Here is a 22286-nt window from a genome sequence, read left to right on the forward strand (position 1 = left end):
AACATACACATTCAAATATTTCAATACTGAATAAATATCAAGGTATCAAAATATGTATAACTTCTCAAAAAAAAAAAACAAAAAACGCTATTAAACAGGGTTGCCATTCAAAATCCGTATTTTAAAAAATACAGTTTCCCAAATATTTTCTATTTAATAAGTAATTTATGCTGGAGTTAAATGCTCCAAATAAGACAGATTTGGTAAGGCAAGAATAGAAATGATGATTATTACAAGTTTAAGGAAATGTCAAGAGATCACATTTAAAAGTGTCAAATTTAGTATTTTAAAGTAAATAAATATTCTCACATTTTCAGAAAATTCTCAAGATGCAAGTACAGTTTTTTTGCTGCTGCTGTTGTTTTTTTTTTAAGAGATGGGGGAAGTCTCAATACACTGCTCAGGCTGGAGTGTAGTGGCTTGTCACACATGTGATTATAGTTCACTATAGTCTCGAACTACTGGGCTCAAGCAGTCCTCCCACCTCAGCCTCCCAAGTAGCTGGTACTACCAGTACCTGGCATCACATCCAACTATTCTCTTTTTTTTTAAGAGACAGGGTCTCACTATGTTGTTCAAGCTGGTCTCAAACTCCTGGCCTCAAGTGATCCTCCCATCTTGACCTCTTGAGTAGCTGGGCCCCAGTATTTTTAAAAGCAAAAAAGTGGCCTTCATCATATTATATAACCACCACCAGCTTCCACCTCCCCAGTTATCCAAACCATATTTACAATCACTCACCTTAAGAAGTAACCAAACAACATGCTAGATTTGCAGTACAAAGGGCTCTAAGAGCTGGGAGGGAGAAAGGTCTATATTATTTTAGTTACTAATTATTCCACAAACCTGCTTTTCAGTAAGAGACATGTAGCAACAGAGGGAAAAAAACACAACAAAAAAAAAAAACCAGGAAAAAAATGTAGTAACAAACCCCAGCGACTGCCCTTCACCACAGAAGAATAGAGGGATTATGATACTAAATTTCCCCTCCCATTTATCTGATGCATACAATCACTATCAGCGTTACAAGTCTTTATATATCTGCTCTTTGTCAAGCACATCTAGAGACTGGAGCCAAGAACAAAATGATGATGATGATGATTCCAATAACAATGACTAACATTTTTGAAGATATAGCATGTATAATACATTAAGCTAGACGCAAAGTGTGTATTACTTTAATGCATCTGTTATTTGTAATTTTCTAAACAATCTTGCTAGAAATCTCATCATACCTAGATGGAGATACTAAAATCCGAAGAATCTAAGTAATCTGAACAAATTCACTTGGCTAGTAACCGGTAAAACAGAATTAAAATCCTGGTCTTTCTGACCACAGTCTTTTCAGTAGATAATCCCAGGCCTCAAAAGAATAGAGCTTATATTCAAAGAGATAGTATTCCTCCGATATTCTTCCAATTTGCACATTGAAAGGGTAAAGATGTAAAAATCATAACAGATATAACTGTTCAAAAAATTTGCCCAGGTTAGAACAATGAAAGTATTAAATAACTAGTTTAACTTTTAAAAATATGTAAATGTTTAAAAATATATATAATGCCAAATTTTGAAATATGGCAGCATTACTCACATCTTGACAATTAAACCTTAATAAATGTGGAGTGCACAGCCAGAATTAACTTCCTAGCCACTTAATACAAATATCTCTTGGATCCCTTCATATACCACAGTGATGTAGCAGGAAATGAAACTAATCTATTTGAATTTAATGTATTTATCATCTCCTTAGGAGAAAACTATGAGACTAGTGCTTTTAGTGGAAAAGAAATGATATTAATCATCTCTTGGTTTACTTAACATGAGAAAAATTTAATCTACTAGATTAGATAAAAGGGAATTCAAGCACATCAGTCATTTTACTAGGCTTTCAATATTCTAGTCAATAGTACACATGGCTACCGGAATAAATGTTCTGGTTTATTCTAGTTTATTATAGTTGCCCTTCCATTCATGAACCTCTGGCTTCACACTGACTAACATGTTCTCCATTTTGCAATAGAAAATGTCTTTATTGATTCCAAAATCCTCACTGTCCCTTTTTTTTTTTTTTTTTTTTTTTTTTTTTTTTTTTTTTTTCCGAGACTCAGTCTTGCTCTGTTGCCAGGCTGGAGTACAGTGGTGCGATCTCGGCTCACTGCAACCTCCGCCCGCTGGGTTCAAAGTGATTCCCCTGCCTCAGCCTCCCGGGTAGCTGGGACTACAAGTGCACGTCACGACGCCTGGCTAATTTTTTGTATTTTAGTAGAGACGGGGTTTCACCATTTTGGCCAGGATGGTCTTGATCTCCTGACCTTGTGATCCACCCGCCTCGGCCTCCCAAAATGCTGGGATTACAGGCGTGAGCCACCATGCCCGGCCCACTGTCCCTTCTTTTACTAGCCTCCTCCTTTGTGTAAATGAAAACAAAAAAAGGAAAGTACAACTACAGTTTGCTAAAGAATTCAGCTATGCACTTATGTTTCACCACAATGTTAGCACTAAATTATTTATTCAGAAGAAAACTAGATGAATGAGGAATGCACGTATGAAATTGGGTTGGTGCTGGAAGTTGAAAGGAATGAGGAGGGTAAATCTTCATGCACCATGATGAGGAGTCAAAGAAGTTAAAAATTAAAAAGTGGAAATATAAGCAGATTATTTACAGATATGGAGGCAAATACTAAAATAATTAGCTGAAAAAGACTGAAAAGTTTGCCTCTGAGAAAGAGTAAATGAGGCCAGGAAGAAGGCAGAGCATTGCCATTTTTTAAAAACAAACCTTGTAGAGCTATTTGAGTTTATTACACATGTATAACTTCCATAATAAATAAAACTAAATTCTAAAAAGTAAATAGAAGTCAAGAAAAATAATACCAAAAATTAAAATAAGGTGGCTAGTCTACTAGAAAAAAAAATCACATCCTCTAAATCAATGATTCTGCTTCTGGGAATAAATAATAATTTTAAAAAAGAAGAAAAAGGTGAATATATTTGAGCACAAACGCATTTATTACAGTGTTAATTGCAACAGTAACATACATACATAGGGATATATGTACGTGTGCATGAATGTATATATGTATATGTATATAAATACATGTATGTATATATGTATGTGTGTATATATACACACACATACACGTATGTATGTATGTGTGTATATATACACACATACACGTATGTATGTATGTGTGTGTATATATACACACACATACACGTATGTATGTATGTGTGTGTATATACACACACATACACGTATGTATGTATGTGTGTGTATATACACACACATACACGTATGTATGTATGTGTGTGTATATACACACACATACACGTATGTATATATGTGTGTATATATACACACACATACACGTATGTATATATGTGTGTATATATAAATAGCAACATTGTAAGTTAGTAAAAACCAGTTTGGAAAACAATATGGGACTATCTGATAAGGTTTCATATGTGTATGCCCCATGACTAAAATATTCCATTCTTAGGCACATACCCCAGAAATGTTGTCATATATGTGTATCAGAAGACATGTACAAGAATGTTCATAGTAGCACTGTTAAAAACAAAGCTGAAAATACAAATAACCATCAATAAAAGAAAAAAATTTTGTAATATATTCATTCCAAGTACTACTACAGAAGAGTGAAAATAGACAAATGACAGGTATGTACATATGGTATAAATATCAATAACAATGAATCTCAATAACATAATGTTAAGGAACAACTTTTAGAAAACACACACAGCAACAGGTAATTCATACTGAGAAACATAAGACTAAATGATATATTATTTGGGATACATAGAAACATTAACAACATTTGGAAAAATTAGCAGAGATAGCAGATACGTTATTCTAATACACTAATTCTTAAATTTAGTGGGCAGTATTATAACTTATATATGTTAAAAATGTGTTTTTGCATTTTTATATTTTCCCATTAAAAACTACGTATGAACCAATGGCACAGAGTATAGCATTTTTAGACAAGGACTTCACAACAGTTACTATAACTGTATTTCATATGTTCCCCCATCAAAAAAGACGGACCATGTCAAATAGACATGGATAATAAGACAAATCAGTTAAAATGTATAATGTCTGTATGAGATTAACAGCAGATGGGACGTTATAGGAAAAGCAGAATATATTACCTCAGGGAGAAGAGTTTAACGCAAAGATTATTAACTGGTAACTGGATAAAAGCTTTTAAGATAATACTGTTTTCATTAAAGATATTTTAGAAGTCAGAGGAATATTAAAAAGAGGGGAAATTATATAACCCCATAACACAGAGGCAACCACTGGCCAGTGGAGCATTGGAATTTGTACAGCAATATCTCAGAAATTTATGAATCTCCAAATCCTCAAGTAACAGAAAAACAGCATATATCCTCCTCCTGGATATTTATGTGAGAAAGTGCAGAGAAAGGAAAAACTGAGGTACAGGGTCTGGGCAGCTGGCGACAGTCACCAACAAAAGTGGCTCCCTCCTACACACCAACTTTATAAAGAGCACCATACAAATATATGTCTCAGAAGCAACCTTCAGATGTTTCTAAAATACTTAAAACCTTGATTGAGCTTAAAAGTAAATGTCTACTATATTCTTTTTAAATCTATCCTTTTAAAATTTTACCCATGAGTTGTTTTGCTCTTATTATTTGTAATTATACTTATTTACAATGTCTTCTTTATTAACTTAATGTTACATACATTTACCTACCCTAAGACGGTCCTTATAAAAATATCAATTTTTGACAGCTCCCAATATTTCATCAAATTAATGACCAAAATTTACTTAACCTTCAGTTTAAGATGGAATATTTGTTATCATAAATGACTACTTTAAACATCTTTATAAAGATTTTCAATATCCAGAATTATTTTCTTGGGAGAGAATCAAAGACAGAATTATTGGATCAAAGTAACACGTTAGCTTCTTGATACAAATTATCAAACTACTTTTCAAAATGGCTATACTACTTTATATGCTTTTTCCAATAATCTATGGGAGTAATTTAACCACAGATAGCACTGGATATTACTACTGTTTTTGAATATTATATATGCTTCTATAAGAAATATGTTCTCATTGATAGTCTAATCTAAGTTATGAAGCTGAATACTGTTTATTAACTATATTTCCTCTTGAGAATTTCTAAATAATTTTTGCTCCCTTTTTGTCTTAAATCCCTTTGTATTAATTATATAATAATATTCACTGTTTGCCTATCATATTTGCTATTTTCCTATTATTTTGTATTTTCCCAGTCTATTGATTTTTAAGTTATTTGTTTACATATTATTTCTTGAGGCCATTCTCAGAACACAATCATAAAATTATCTAAAAAGCTCCACACACTTGATTCTTCATCACATCCCTGCCTGATTAAGAAATTCAGACTAAAATCTTTTACAAAAGCAAATATCAAAATATAAAATTGTGGTTTATAGAGGGTTATCTAGAAGACTGATGAACAGTAATCTGGAGAGGAAAGATGCCTTTTTTTGATCCGTTCAACAAACTTTGTATCTTTGAAATTAAAATAAATTGTATTGCAAAGATTAAGGCTTATCACAACAACCACATTTGAACTCTTTCTGAAGCATCAATCTTCTTGGCTGCAATCATATCAGATACTCTACAAAGAACACAGCTACTAGAGAATACTGAGATAAATAACAAATTTAAATTAAGACAAAACAAAACAAACAACCATTAAATAACACCAAACAACATGAATGTTTAAGGGTTATAATATTGACAGAACTAATTTATCCAATCACAAATGAGATTTGGGCTTTCCACATACTGAATAGTGTTCCAGAAGCCAAGGAGAATAATGTTCCAGAAGTCACTTAAATCTAAGGTAGTCCAGTTTTTTAAAAATTGCTTTAAAGATACATCCACACACAGACACATAAACACACACAGAGTCATGGCTTGCTTTTTTTTTTTTTTTAAGTTTCATTAAAGAAACCTTAGAGAACACAGAAGTTAGTGGAAAATGTCATCCAAAACTCCAAGGACAACTACATATACATTTGATTTTCAGTTCATTATTCTGGATGCAAATAGTGTTTTATTTTTATTTATTTGTATTTTAGTTTAGTTTTGTTTTGTCTGAAATAGAGTCTTGCTCTGTCACCCCAGGCTGGAGTACAGTGGCACAATCACAGCTCACTGCAACCTCCGCCTCCGGGGTTCAAGCGATTCTGCTGCCTCAGCCTCCCAAGTAGCTGGGATTACAGGAGCATGCCACCATGTCCAGCTAATTTTTGTATTTTTAGTAGAGACAGGGTTTCACCATGTTGGCCAGGTTGGTCTTGAACTCCTGAACTCAGGTGATCTGCCTGCCTGTATTTGGAATACTTTAATCATATTTAAGTAGAGATCTGATGATGAAACATGTCTTTGAAGAAAAATATTTTAAAGACAATTTTTCACATACAGTTGCAGAGTGTTGCTAATAAGGTGTAATATAATTGAAAACACAGTAAAATAAAATTATAAGGCAAAAATTTTAAAGTCGTGGTATTTGCACAGAAACGCAAATGGCTTATAGAGAACAGAGAACATAATAATGTGGGCTTAAAATTTTAAGATTTTAATATGTGATAGCCTAAATATAATTAGACAAATAGAAAAATTATAAATAAAAGCTCACAATATATAAAACCAATAATTTAAACAAAATTAATGAATACAATGCTTATTCCAACTAAAAATAATTTCTTAACCTTTAAAGAATGAATGAATTACAAAAAATATTTTACCACCAATTATCTATTTTTTTCTAATAGTAAAAATAAAAGAAAAAGAAAAAGAGAATGGAGGAGGTATATTTATCAAATGAAATAGAGAAAGGCATCATCATCAAAAACACATAAAGAATTTATAGATTTTTTTTTTTTTTTTGAGACGGAGTTTCACTCTTGTCGCCCAGGCTGGAGTGCAATGGCACAATCCTGGCTCACTGCAACCTCCGCCTCCCAGGTTCAAGCGATTCTCCTGTCTCAGCCTCCTGAGTAGCTGGGATTACAGGCATCTACCACCATGCCCAGCTAATTTTTGTATTTTTTGTAGAGACAGGGTTTCACCATTTTGGCCAGGCTAGTCTCGAACTCCTGACCTAAGGTGATCCACCCGCCTCGGCCTCCCAAAGTGCTGGGATTACAGGCGTGAGCCACTTTGCCTGGCCAAGAGTTTATAGTTTTAAATGGGAAGATAACCAAAGCCTATTAAATAACACGTTCATGTAACAGAATAACCATAAGTCTATATTTGAAAACCTATTAAACCTTTTTAATAATCTTTGAAATTAATCTTTACATAAAATGAAATAGTAAATATTCACTGAAACATCTTTAAAATATGTAAAAATATATTTCAATTAAAAGTTATTTCTTACAAAAATTTTAGAGAAAACAGGTACATCTTTTCAGAGGCCAAATATTACATGATAGAAAGAATACAGAACTAGAAATGAGAACACCTGTGCTTTAATTATGCTCAATTCTATGACCCAAGAAAAATCACTAAACTTTTCTGAGACTCCAACAGTGAAGATTAAAAAACCTGTGTTGCTAACCAAGTAGGGTTGTATGGAGCAAGTAAGGCAATATGCATGAAGCACGTTTTGTAGACCATAAACAACTACATGTAAGTTATTAGTTATTATTTTCATAATAGGGTATTATTCTTTTGATCGGGATAGGGAGAAGAAGCACCCGGAAGAACATGTAGAGATAATCTTAAGGAGTTCAGGTATTACAGAAAACAAACACAGGTTAAAATTTGTTTGTTTGTTTTGAGACGGAGTCTTGCTCTGTCGCTCAGGCTGGAGTGCAGTGGTGCAATCTCGGCTCACTGCAACCTCCGCCTTCCAGGTTCAAGTGATTCTCCTGCCTCAGCCTCCTGAGTAGCTGGGACTACAGGCGTGTGCAACCACGCCTGGCTAATTTTTCTGTATTTTTAATAGATATGGGGTTTCACCATGTTAGCCAGGATGGTCTCGATCTCCTGACGTCGTGATCCACCCGCCTCGGCATCCCAAAGTGCTGGGATTACAGGCGTGAGCCACCGTGCCCATCCTAAAATTTGTATTTTTCTGACTAGTTCTTAATTGATACCATCACATAAACTATGCATAGAATAGCCTCAGGCTTAAGTAAACTCCTTTAGCTGAATCTTTATATTTCAAGTCTAAGGCACTTCTCAGGACATGTTCATCTTTCTTGTTCTTCAAAGCTTCATGGAAATTTAGAATCAAAAGTCTTCTTTTTTGTGTCTCTCACAAAAGGGGGAAGGAAAATACCTTACTATTAAAAATGAGAATTAGTTTTCCTTTCCTAAGTCTCACTCTGTGTCTGCTTTGGCTACCACAAAAAATTGCTCAGAGCCAATGGAAAGAAAATACATTGTCCATCTGTTCTTCTGGGCACCATTTTTCCTTTTTTCCTGACTTTCTAACTGTGATACTGTTGATATGACATTATACTTTAAAAACATGAATTTAAACAAAACCTCATCCCTCCATCGTCAACAGAAAGATATTTCAGGTACTTTATTGAATGCCTACCTTCCAATCAGTACCTAGCTAGAAATAACTGTCAATATCTCTCCTTAGATGCCCTAGGTAAAATCAGCAGGGATATATAAACAGTGACCACTACCATAAACTAAGGATCTAATTGACATCTACAGAGCACTCCACCAAGCAAAAACAATACAAATTCTGCTCAACTACACATGGAACATTATCCAATATAGACCATGTTCTGGGTCACAAAACAAACCTTATAAATGTAAAAGAATTGAAATAATACAAAGTATGTTCTTTGGCTGGGCACAGTGGCTCATGCCTGTAATCCCAGCACTTTGGGAGGCCGAGGCAGGCTGATCACTTGAGGTCAGGAGTTCAAGACCAGACTGGCCAACATGGTGAAACCCCATCTCTATAAAAATACAAAAATTAGCCACACGTGGTGGTAGGTGAAGCAGGAAGCTTGAACCTGGGGGCGGGGGATGGGGAGGTTGCAGTGAGCTGAGATTGCGCCACTGCACTCCAGCCTGGGAGACAGAAGGAGACTCCGTCTCAAAAAAAAAAAAAAATTGTTCTTTGATCATAATGGAATCAAATTAGGAAATTTTCTAAACCTTTGAAAATTAGTACATTTTTAAATAATCAAGGGATCACAAAGGATCTCTGAGAAATTTCTCTTTGATTTTGAATTGAGTGAAAATGAAAATACAAAATCAAAATCTGTGAGATGCAACCAACGCAGCAGTTAAGAAGGAATTTAATAACATTGTGTTTTTAGAAGAAAAACTTTGTTATTAGAAAAAGGTCTCAAATCAATAATACAAACTCCTGCCTCAAGAAACTAGAAAAAAGGTAAAATAAATCCAAAATTAGAACTAATAAAGAAGATGAAATCAATGAAATTGAAAACAGGAAAATAGAGAAAAATCAATCAAACCAAAAGTTGACTCTTTGAAAACATCAATAAAATTTGTAATCTCCTAGTAATACCAACGAAGAGGAAAAGGAGGAAAACAAATTACTAATTATATAATAATATTCACTGTTTGCCTATCATATTTGCTATGAGTATTTTCCCAGGCTGTTGATTTTTAAGTTTTTGTTTACATTTTATTTCTTGAGGCCAACATGGTGAAACCCTGTCTCTACTACTAAAAATACAAAAATTAGCCGGACATGGTGGCATGCCCCTGTAATCCCAGCTACTTGGGAGGCTGAGGCAGCAGAATCGCTTGAACCCCGGAGGCGGAGGTTGCAGTGAGCTGTGATTGTGCCACTGTACTCCAGCCTGGGGTGACAGAGCAAGACTCTATTTCAGACAAAACAAAACTAAACTAAAATACAAATAAATAAAAATAAAACACTATTTGCATCCAGAATAATGAACTGAAAATCAAATGTATATGTAGTTGTCCTTGGAGTTTTGGATGACATTTTCCACTAACATCTGTGTTCTCTAAGGTTTCTTTAATGAAACTTAAAAAAAAAAAAAAGCAAGCCATGACTCTGTGTGTGTTTATGTGTCTGTGTGTGGATGTATCTTTAAAGCAATTTTTAAAAAACTGGACTACCTTAGATTTAAGTGACTTCTGGAACATTATTCTCCTTGGCTTCTGGAACACTATTCAGTATGTGGAAAGCCCAAATCTCATTTGTGATTGGATAAATTAGTTCTGTCAATATTATAACCCTTAAACATTCATGTTGTTTGGTGTTATTTAATGGTTGTTTGTTTTGTTTTGTCTTAATTTAAATTTGTTATTTATCTCAGTATTCTCTAGTAGCTGTGTTCTTTGTAGAGTATCTGATATGATTGCAGCCAAGAAGATTGATGCTTCAGAAAGAGTTCAAATGTGGTTGTTGTGATAAGCCTTAATCTTTGCAATACAATTTATTTTAATTTCAAAGATACAAAGTTTGTTGAACGGATCAAAAAAAGGCATCTTTCCTCTCCAGATTACTGTTCATCAGTCTTCTAGATAACCCTCTATAAACCACACTTTTATATTTTGATATTTGCTTTTGTAAAAGATTTTAGTCTGAATTTCTTAATCAGGCAGGGATGTGATGAAGAATTAAGTGTATCAGTAACAGGAATTAAAAAGAAGATATAACTATGGACCTCACAGACATATCATCGTGGAAAACTATGAATAACTGAACAACTTAGCAAAACGACCAGAGCTCATACAAGATTATCTGAGTTGATCTAGAACATTAAGGGAACTGAATTTGTAGTTTAAAACATTCTGAATAAGAAATCAACAGGCCCAGATGTTTTCATTATCACTGAAAAAAGAAATCAATTCTATACAATGAGAGAGGGAACATTTCCCAAAAGTAGGGAAACAAAGAATGCTACAGAACATTATCCCTCAAGAGATATACACAAAAGTCTTCAAAACACTAGCAAATGTGATTACCTTAATACAAAAACCAAAGACATTACAAAAAAAAAAAACCTACAAAATAATCTCCCTCAAGAGCAGAGATGCAAAAATATCAAGAAAATATTAGCAAACAGAATCTTGCAACATATGAAAAGAATAATATGCCATGACCATGAGGAATTTCTTCTGGGAATGCAAGGAAGATACACACTGATAATTTAGAATTGTTTACTATGAACCCTTTAACAACAAACTAAGATTCTATAGCTAATAAGTCAACAAATGAGGTAAAATTTAAAAATAATGAAAAGAATGCAGGAAAACAATGAACAGATGACACAGATTGCAAAATATTTCTAGAAAATGCAAAGTAGAATGTAGGTTAGTGAGACTGAGCGCAGTGGCTCACATCCATAATCCTGACACTTCTGGAGGCTGAGGCTGGCGGACTGCCCGAGCTCACGAGTTTGAGACCGGCCTGGGCAACATCATGAAACCCCGTCTCTACTTGAATACAAAAAATTAGCAGGGTGTGGTGGTGCGTGCCTGTAGTACCAGCTACTCGGGAGGCTGAGGCACAAGAATCACTTGAACCCAGGAGACAGAGGTTGCAGTGAGCTGAGGTCATGCCACTGCACTCCAGCCTGGGCAACAGAGCGAGAGTCTGTCTCCAAATAAAAAATAAATAAATAAAAAATGTAGGTTGGTGGTTCCCTGGGGCCTGGAGGGGTTTTCAGAGAAGGGTGGAAGGGAGGTTTCACATGGAAACTTTTGGGAGTGATAAATATGTTTATTATCTTGATTATGTTGATGCTTTCTCAGGCCTATAAATATATAAAAATGTATAAAGTTATATACTTTAAACAAGTGCAGGTTATTGACACCAATTATACCTCAACAAAACTTTTTTTTTTTTTTTGAAAAAAAGAAAAACTGCAAAAGAAATATATCAAACAGAGCTATGGGGTTTATTCAACCCCTGAAAAAAGCATTTTCCCTCTTCACTATGCTTACAAAAGACATCAAGAAGGATTTTCTATTTCAAACAGCCATTAAATGCCTATATGCTTAGCACTGTATAAAGACGGAAACAGATATTAATTCTACATTTACATTATACCTTTTTTGACAGACTAGAAAACAGAATTATAAACCAGGCTGTCCCCTATCCAAAATCCTGCATGATACCCTTATATACATTAAAGTGTTTTGTTCCCAAAGAGCTAAACTTGATCACATAATTCTTAATTATGGATGCTAGAGGGTCTGCTTCACTCAGGTCCAAGCACTCCAAAAAATTAAAAGCTTAGTGGACACTGACTTTGCAATATATTAATAGGTGTTATAACTTAAGGGAATCCTAGGGTAAACACAAAATTAAGTAGGTACTTTACCACAATACTCCTCAAAACCATTACTGTGCACAATGAACATCCAAAAGAAGAATATAATATATAACATTTCCCACATCTATTTATCCACAGGATACCATCCATCCCCCACTTTTTTCCCTTCAGATTTTTCAAAAGATCCAGTAAGACTAAAACCCATGGAACACACTTAGAAAAACACAGTGACTACTTCATACTGGTTTAGACGCAATACTAAAAGAAACAAAATCCATATAAATCCACTGATAGAAGCCCTTTGTTTACTCCTTTAAAAATCAGGTCAATAAAGGGTCTTATTAATATAGTATAAAGCACTTACAAGCAATAATACAGGGGTGAGACTCTGTCTCCAAAAAAAAAAAAAAAGATGAGGAAGATACACATCTATTTATATCCTACTCTCCTATGAAGAGTCTCCATCATATAAACATTAATGACCACAGAATCTTCATATACATGATACCGTAACAACTTCTAGTCAGATTAATTTTTATTCTATTTCTGAATTTTACTAAAAAAAAAAAAACACAAGAAATATTATATAGGTATTATGAGAGTCACATATCCACAGTCAGAAGAGTCCTTACTATGACGAAATAACATAAACATTATTAATGGTAATTACTAAGGTCTGCAAATTTTAAGGGCTTTAAGTTAACTCAGAATATCTACTCTCTAATCTACACATTACAGATGCAATACGCTGATGTAAAAGGTTAGAAGAACTACCTGGGGTGATAATACAATAAGTCATCAGAAATAACAATAATAATAAACATTCATATAATGCTTACTATGTGTTATGGGTTGAACTGTGTCTCCCTAAAATTCATATGTTGAAGTCCTAATTCCCAGTACCTCAAAATGTGAGCTTATTTAAACATAGGACTGTTGCCACTAATTCAATATGACTAGTGTCCTTATATTATAAAAAGAGGAAACTTGGACAATACCCACACATGGAGAATGCTATGTGAAGACAAGGGCAGAGACGGGGGTAAAGTTTCCATAAGCCAAAGAACTCCCAAGACTGCCAGCAAACCAAAGCTAGGCAAGAGGCATGGAACAGCTTCTCCCTTATGGACCACACAAGGAAGCAAACTTACTGACATCTTGATTTTGGACTTCTAGCCTCCAGAATTGTAAGACAACACATTTCTGTTATTTAAGCCACCCAGTTTGTGGTACTTTGTTATAGCAGCTCGAGCACTACAGACCCTATGTCTCCAGACACTGTTATAAGAACCTGTATATTACTCATTTAATACAACAACTCATTTAATACATTTATCTGCTCCACTTTACAGATGATCAAACTGAGGCACACAGCAGTTAATTAACTTGCCCAAGTTCATAATTACTAAGGCAGGATTTGGAAAGTGACGCAAATGGTGTTTGTCTTAGTTCAGGCTGCTATAACAAGGTACCATAAACTGGGTGGCTTATAAACAACTGAAACTTACTTCTCACAATTCTGGAAGCTGGAAGTTCAAGATCAGGGTGCCAACATGGTCAGCTTCTGGTAAGGTCTCTCTTCTGGGCTGTAGGCTTGTATCCTCATATGGCAGAAGAGGGCAAGAGGGCTCTCTGGGATCCCTTTTTCAAAGACACTAATAGCATTCATAAGGGCTCCACCATGATGACCTAATAACTTCTCAAAAGCCCTTCCTCCTAATATCACCACATTAGGAGGTAAGAATTTCAAAATATGAATTTGGGGGAGACATAAACATTCTGTCCATTGCAGTGTTGTTGCTAGAATGGCCCCATAGTGTAGCTGTGTGTTTCAACTGTCTGGGGCATTCAGATCAAAGTTTGATTCTCTAGACCTGTAAAACTTTGTTCTCTTTATACATTCTAAAATCTTATAATAAATCCTTTCTACTTAAATTGGGTATAGTAGATTCAGTTGATCTCAACTAGGAACCCTAACTTCAGTAAGGAACTGGAGTTCTGGAGAAAGATGAAGTACTTAAAGAAACTGACAGTGGTTGCAGCCCCAGAAAAATATCCGAGTAATCTCTGACTACTATTCGATAATATGGGTTTCGAGGTTTGCACGACAGCAGTGAAGGGCCAATCTGACAAACCTGGCCACAAAAATCAATTCCTCTGGTCTTGTTCATCTATATGATCATAAACACTTTATTGACCTCTCTCCAAAAGTAAGGCTATATAGATAGACCACACTGGAGTCCAGCTGAAGAGTGGAGGTCATGAGGTAAGGAAAATAATGGAGGGTTCCAAACTACCACGGACTTCAAGAGAGGTGACCAGAGATCAGCAACTGAGATTTGGCTTTTCCTATACATCAAAATTGACATGGCCCAAACTTGATAATTTCTTCTCTTATTCACTTTTCTTCACTAAACTCCCTTCATGTTAACTCCCTGTGAAAACACTGCACACACAAATTATTTCACAACTTGAGAATTAAATACATTTTAGGACAAAAATATATACTCTTCTGTTATGGACTGAATTGTATTATGCAAAAAAAGATGTACTGAAGTCTTAACCCTCAGTACCTGTAAATGTGACTTTACTTGGAAGCAGGGTTTTCCCAGGTGTAATACAGTTGACACTGGATTTTTCTCGGTGACTTTTGCCAGCTGGACCTCCTCCAGCTGGTGACGCCTCCACCGAAGCCTCGCTCAGCCCCAGGCCTGCCACTGGAGACATCCTACCCACTCAGCCCACTGGGCTGTGCCTTGCTCGTGCACCAGCTCAGCCTGTGGCTGGGCTGGGATTGCCCCAGCCCACCCATGTTACAGCTCATACACACATTCAGCAGTTCCCAAGTTCTTGTCCTGCATCCAAGAAGAATGACATTACACTGACCATCAAGGGTTGAGAAGGGCAGAGAAGAGTGTTATTAAGCAACAGGACAGCTCTCAGCAGAGAGGGGATATGAGGGTGGTCCCCCACTCAAAGGCGGGTATCTCTCCTTCAGTGTGGCTGGGTCCGAAGCTTTTATGGGCTCAGAATGGGAAGTGCGTGCTGACTGGTTTGTGAGTATGCAAAAAAGACTACAACCAAGGCACCACTCAAAGGTGGGCTCGACAGTATAAAAAACCAATTAGGAAAGGGTAGGTATATGTAAAACAGGTGAAAGGTGGGGATCAATAAGAGGAAAGTACGCCAAACAGGAAGAGAGGTTCTCAATATGGTATGCGGATTTATATAAGACTTGTAGGTTGGCCTTCACACTTTAAATTGTCTTTCATTTGAAGGTGGGGTTTCATCAGGGACCTGCCCCTGTCTGCTTAGGATTTGTCTGCCTCCTGCTACTATCCTAGTTAAAATAAAGTTAAACTGGATTAGGGTGGCCCCTAATCCAATGACTGGTGCCCCTAAAAGACACCTTTTAAGGAACATTTGGACCCAGCTACAGAGAGGAGAATGCCATGTAAAGCCACAGAGACCTAGGAGAAAGCCATGTGAAGATAGAGGCAGAGACTGGAATGACACATTTATAAGTCAAGCAACAACAAGAATGACCACAATCACCAAAAGCTACAGGAGGCAAAGAAGGATTCCTCCCCTAGAGCCTTCAGAGAGAGTATGGCTCTGTTAACACCTTTACTTCAAACTTCTAGCCTCCAGAACTATGTAAGAATAATTCTGTTGTTTTAAGGCACTCAGTTTGAGTAATGTGCTGCAGTAGCCCTAGGAAACTAAAACATCTTCTCTCTGTTATATTCATTTTTTTTCTATCTTCAATCAACCCCCAATTTAGGCCTGAAGCTATAGACCAAAAGAGTTAACTGAGAATTGAAGTCAGTGAAGGTTCCACATGCAGAGCAGCTGCAGGATGAGCTGTTTAATCTTCTACACAACACTCACTGGCGTATTACTAGCAAGTTCTCATATTTTCTTAGCTCAAGAGCTCTTGAGCTACTAAACACAATTTGCATAATGAATGAATATGCTTATAAAGAGAAGTTAGGAAGGTAGAACAAAAACTATATTGGCTTGAAGCACAGGCATCAGATATTTTGCTAAATAAAATGGAGGTCACCATGTCAATTCCACCATGAACATTTCTTGTCTGCTGTTTAAAAAAAGCCAAGAATGAGTGTGTGACAAACCTATTGTACAATGAAAGATACTAAGTAACAGAATATTACTAAGAGTACCACTTAAAATTTTATCTAAAATATTTTAGCTGTCCCTTACTATAGGGAATCTTTAGGGAACAACCATATTTTACTTAATCCTTCAAAGGAACTAAATAAAATATCATCTTGGAAGAGTAGCATATTATGGATCTGACAGCTCAGAGGGAGTAGAATGTTACCATATGTCTTTTTAATTTTAGTCATTCTTGGGGGTGTAAAGTGGTATATCATTGTGGTTTGATTTGCATTTTCCTAATGACTAATGATACTGACCACCTTTTCATGTGCTCATTGGCCATTTGCACATCTTCTCTGGAGAAACGCCTATATTCAAGTCTTTGCCCAGTTTTTTTTTTTTTTAAGAGATGGGGTCTTGCTATGTTGCCAAGGCTGATCTCCAACTCCTGGAGCTCAAGCAGTCCTACTGTTTCAACCTCCAGAGTAGCAGGGACTACAGGACTGTGTCTGGCTTTTGCTCATTTTTTAGTTGGTGATATGGTTTGGCTGTGTCCCTACCCAAATCTTATCTTGAACTGTAGCTCCCAAAATTCCCACATGTTGTGAGAGGGACCTGGTGGGAGGTAATCCAATTATGGGGACGGGTCTTTCCTGTGACAATGAATAAGTCTCATGAGATCTGATGGTTTTATGAAGGAGAGTTTCCCTGCACAAGTTCTCTTCTCTCATCTGCTGCCATGTGAGACGTGCCTTTCACCTTCCACCATGATAATGAGGCCTCCCTAGCCCCATGGAACTGTCAGTCCATTAAACCTCTTTCTTTTGTAAATTGCTCACTCTTGGGTATGTCTTTATCAGTAGCATGAAAACGGACTAATACAGTTGGGTTGTCTTTTTTGAGTTGTAAGGGTCCTTTATATATTTTGTATGCAAGCACCCTGTGTCAGATACATGATTTAAAAACATCTTTTCTGATTCTGTGGATTGTCTTTTCACTTTCTTGATAATGTCCTTTAATGTGCAAAAGTTTTAAATTTTGATGAAGTGTAATTTATCTCATTTCCTTTTGTCACTTGTGCTTTTGGTGTTTTATCTCAGAAACCAAGGTCACAATAATTTACTCATGTTTTCTTCTAACAGATTGTATGGTTTTAGATCTTTAGGTATATGATACATTTTTAGTTCCTTTTTTGCATGGTATGAGGAAGTGATATATATTCATTCTTTTGCATGTAGACACTGGTTGTCCCAGGACAATTTTTTGAAAAGACTATTCATTACCAATTACATTGTCTTCACATTCTTGTTAAAAATTAATTAACTATAAATGTCAGAGTTTATTTCTGGACTCTCAATTCTATTTCACTGATCTACATATCTATCTTTATGCCATTACCAGACTGTATGAATTATTGTAGCTCTGTACTAAGTTTTAAAATCAGTATGTGTAAGTCCTCCAGCTGTGTTCTTTCTCAAGTTGATTTTGGCTATTCTTTTTAGAATTTGTTTTAGCTATTCTGGGTTGCTTGCATTCCAGTATGAATTTTAGGATCATTTTACAATATCTGCAGCAAACACCAATTCGGATTCTGATAAGGACTGCACTGAATCTATAAAACAATTTGGGAAGTGCTGCCATCTGTGCTAGGCATATTAATGTACTCTAAGGATATCCAACAACCTAATCCTCAGAATTTGTGAAATGCTACCTTACATGCTAAAAGGAACAATGCAGATATGCCATGGGTCTTGAGATGGGGAGGTTATCCTGGATAGGCCCTAATAAAATCACAAGTGATTTTATAAAATAGAGGCAGTGGGAGATTTGATTACAGAAGAAGGCACTGTGAGAATGGAAGCAGGAGGAGAAAAGGTGATACGATGCAGGGCCATTAACCAAGGGAAGTGGACAACCTCCAAAAACCAAAAAAACAAACAAACAAAAAAAACAAAACCAAAAACAAACAAACAGAAAACTAACTTACAGTGTTCCGAAGGAACCAGCTCTGCTGACATTTTGATTTTAGTCCCTTAAAACTCATTTCACACTTCTAATCTCCAGATTTGTAAAAAAATAAATCTGTATTGTTTTAAGCCATCAAATTTGTGGTAATTTGTTACAGCATCCCTAATGAACTAATACACCCAATACATCCTAAGTGTGTTTGCACATAACAACAGAGTTTGATATAAATGTAGCAAAAATAAAAAAGAATGAAATTTGAAAATCTACAATTATGTCAAATAGTTTTATATCCTTTTATAAATAATTGATAAAACAGGCAGACAAAAAATCAGTAAAGATATCTATAGAGGGAGATAACACAAACATGGCAAAGGTTTTACAACTGGCAAATCTAGGTTATGGGTAAGGGGTGTTTATTTTACTATTCTTTCAACTTTTCTCTAATTTAAAACTTTTTAAAATAAAAAGATGGGGAAAATCACTGAAGTATAGAGAATATATGAAAGATAATCTATTTTTTATTTGGGGCATCATCAAACTCTATCATCTTACTATTAGATTTTATTATTTACTAGAAAAATCCTATTTGCCACATTGATTTTCTTTTTAATTTTTTTAGACAGGGTCTCGTTCTGTCACCCAGGCTGGATTGCAATGGCACAAACATAGCTCACTGTGGTCTCAACTTCCCAAGCTCAAGCCTCAGGATACTGAGGCTCAACTTCCTCTCACCTCAGCCTCCAACGTAGCTGGGACCACAGGCATGCACCACCACACCTAGCTAATTTTTTTATTTTTTGTAGAGACAATGTCTCACTTTGTTGCCTAGGCTGGTCTAGAACTCCTGAGTTCAAACAATCTGCCTGCCCTCAGCCTCCCAAAGTGCTAAGATTAAAGGTACGAACCTGCCCAATCAACAATGACTTTTAAATAAAGGTCAGACTGCAAATACAGAGCCTAAAGAACTGCTATTTTAAACAGGAAGTGTGTGTGTGTGTTTGTGTGTGTGTGCATGAACATTTTATTGTAAAAATATCATGAAAGAAGAGAGAATGATCCTTTGTACCCATTACTGAGTTTCAACAATTACCATCATTTTGCCATTCTTATTTTGACCATATCCTATCTCATGTGTTTGAATGCTTTGGCATAAGCATTAAATCTTAAGTACAAAAAGAATAATCAAAAAGAGTATGACAATAATGACCAAGTGAAAAGACCATAATGTTCTATAAAAATAACTGCTCTGTAGTAAACTAAAGTTGAAAAAGTAAACACAGAGAGGTCAGACAAAACATTGCTGGGTTAAAATAAAATTCAAACTGATAAAATATGCCAGGCTGCAAAATATTTTGGCAATTCAAGAGTAATTGATATACAAAAGAGAGGGAGTGGAAGTTAACAGGATAGTACCACCTAATCCTCTGAGGACATGAACTTAGGATACTGAAATAAGAACATGACATAAGTACAGACCACAGGAAAATACCATAATGCTTAAAAACTCAAATGCAATCGTTTCAGTGTAAGAATATCACTTAACCAAAAATTACCATTAATATCAAACTGGCCTTATAAGAAAAGCTGCCTCTACATGAAAATAAAGTCTTTTCTACTTAAAAAATTCTAACTAGGAAGAAAAATGGGGATTTCTGAAGTCATATTCTATTTATAGTACATATATTCTACCATGTACTATAAAAAGTCCAGGGATGCATCCATTTTCGCAAAAAAAATTCTACAAAAAATTTTCTATTTTTTTCTATTCATCATAGTACTGGAAGTCCTAGCCAGAACAATTAGGCAAGAAAAGAAATAAAAGGCATCCAAATTGGAAAGGAAGAAGTAAAATTATCTCTGTTCACAGATGACATAATCTTAGATATAGCAAACCTTATAGATTCCACACCAAAAAAAAACTGTAAAAATAAACGAATTTAGCGAAGTTGTAGGATACAAAATCAACACACAACAATCAGTTGCATTTCAGTACACTAACAGTGAACAATCCAAAGAGGAAATTAAGAAAATAATCCCATTTACAATTTTAGCATCAAAAAGAGTAAGACACTTAAGAATAAACTTAGAGAAAATAAAGAGGCAAAAGACATGTATTCTGAACACTACAAAGTATGGCTGAAAGAAATTAAAGACAACACAAATAAATGGAAGATATCCCATGATTTTGAATTGAAAGGCTTAATATTGTTAAGATGTCAATACTACCCAAATTGATCTACAGATTTAATGCAATCCCTATTGAAATCCCAACAGCATTTTGTGTGTGCATGCAGAAACAGAAAAACGCATCCTAAAATTCATATGGAATCTCAAGGGACCCCAAACAGCCAAAACAAAAGATGCAAGTTTCACACCTGCTGGCTTCAAAACATATTACAAAGCTACAATAATAAAAATTGTCTGGTACTGGCATAAAGACAGACATACAGATCAGTGGAATAGAGAGCCCAGATATAAACCTTTACGTGTAAGGTCAAATGATTTTTGACAATGGTGCCAACACAATTCAACAGGAAAAGGACAGTGTTTTCAACAAATGGTGGTGGGAAAACTGGATATCCATATGCCAAACAATAAAATGGTACCATTACCTTAGCTATACGCAAAATTTAACTCAAAATGGATCAAAGACCTAAACATAAGAGCTAAAGCTATAAAACTCTTAGAAGAAGCATAAAGGAAAAATTTCATGGCATTGAATCTGGCAATTTCTCACATATTGACACCAAATCACAGGCAAAAAAAGTTAAAAATAAACTGAACTACATCAAAACGTAAAATTTCCATGTAAATACCACAATTCACAGAGTGAAAAGGCAACCTACAGAATGGGAGAAAATATTTGCAAATAATATTTCTAATAAAGGGTTAGAATATATAAAGAAATCCTACAATTAAGAAACAAAAAAGCAAATAACCTGATTTTTAAATGGGCAAAGAATATAAATAGACATTTCTCTAAAGATGAGAGACAGGTGGCCAACAAGCACATGAAAAGATGTTCAACATCAGTAATCATTGGACAAATGCAAATCAAAATCACAATGAGATATCACCTCACACCAGTTAGAATGGCCACTATTAAAAAAATACACAAAACAGAAAATAACAACTGTTGGCAAGGATGTAGAAAAATTGGAACCTTTGTGCATTGTGTCTAGAAATGCAAAATGGTGCAGCTGTTACGGAAAACCATATAGACCTTCCTGGAAAAAACTTAAAATTAGAATCACCATATGATACAATAATCCCATTTTGGGGCATACACCCAAAAAAATGGAAAACAAGATCTTAAAGGAATATCTGCATATCCATGTTCACTGCAGCTATTATTCAAAATAGCCAAGAGGTAAAAAGCAACCCAAAAGTCCACTGGCAGAGATAAATGCATAAAGAAAATGTGGTATATACACTGGGTACAGTGTGTACACTGCTTGGACGATGAGTGCACCAAAATCTCAGAAATCACCACTGAAGAACTTATTTGTGTAAGCAAACATCACCTGCTCCCAAAAACCTATTGAAATAAAAAATAAATTAAGAGATAAAATTTTAAAAAAAGATAAAAAGAAAAAGAAAATGTGGCATTATAAACCCAATAGGATATTAGCCTTAAAAATGAACAAAATTGGCTGGGCGCGGTGGCTCACGCCTGTAATCCCAGCACTTTGGGAGGCCAAGGTGGGCGGATCACTAGGTCAGGAGATCAAGACCATCCTGGCTAACACAGTGAAACCCTGTCTCTACTAAAAATACAAAAAATTAGTTGGATGTGGTGGCAAATGCCTGTAGTCCCAGCTACTTGGTAGGCTGAGGGAGGAGAATCGCTTGAACCTGGGAGGCGGAGATTGCAGTGAGCTGAGATCATGCCACT

The 22286-nt window shown here is 35.4% G+C and overlaps 1 protein-coding gene across 10 annotated transcripts in view; it reads right to left on the minus strand.

Moving 5' to 3' along the window:
- The window catches only part of COG5 (component of oligomeric golgi complex 5), a 362549-nt gene that overhangs the window by 211275 nt on the left and 128988 nt on the right, over nucleotides 1-22286 (minus strand). The gene's annotated exons all lie outside the window — the stretch shown is intronic.

The sequence above is a fragment of the Homo sapiens genome, chromosome 7, assembly GCF_000001405.40.
Source record: "Homo sapiens chromosome 7, GRCh38.p14 Primary Assembly".
Taxonomy (NCBI): Eukaryota; Metazoa; Chordata; class Mammalia; order Primates; family Hominidae; genus Homo; species Homo sapiens.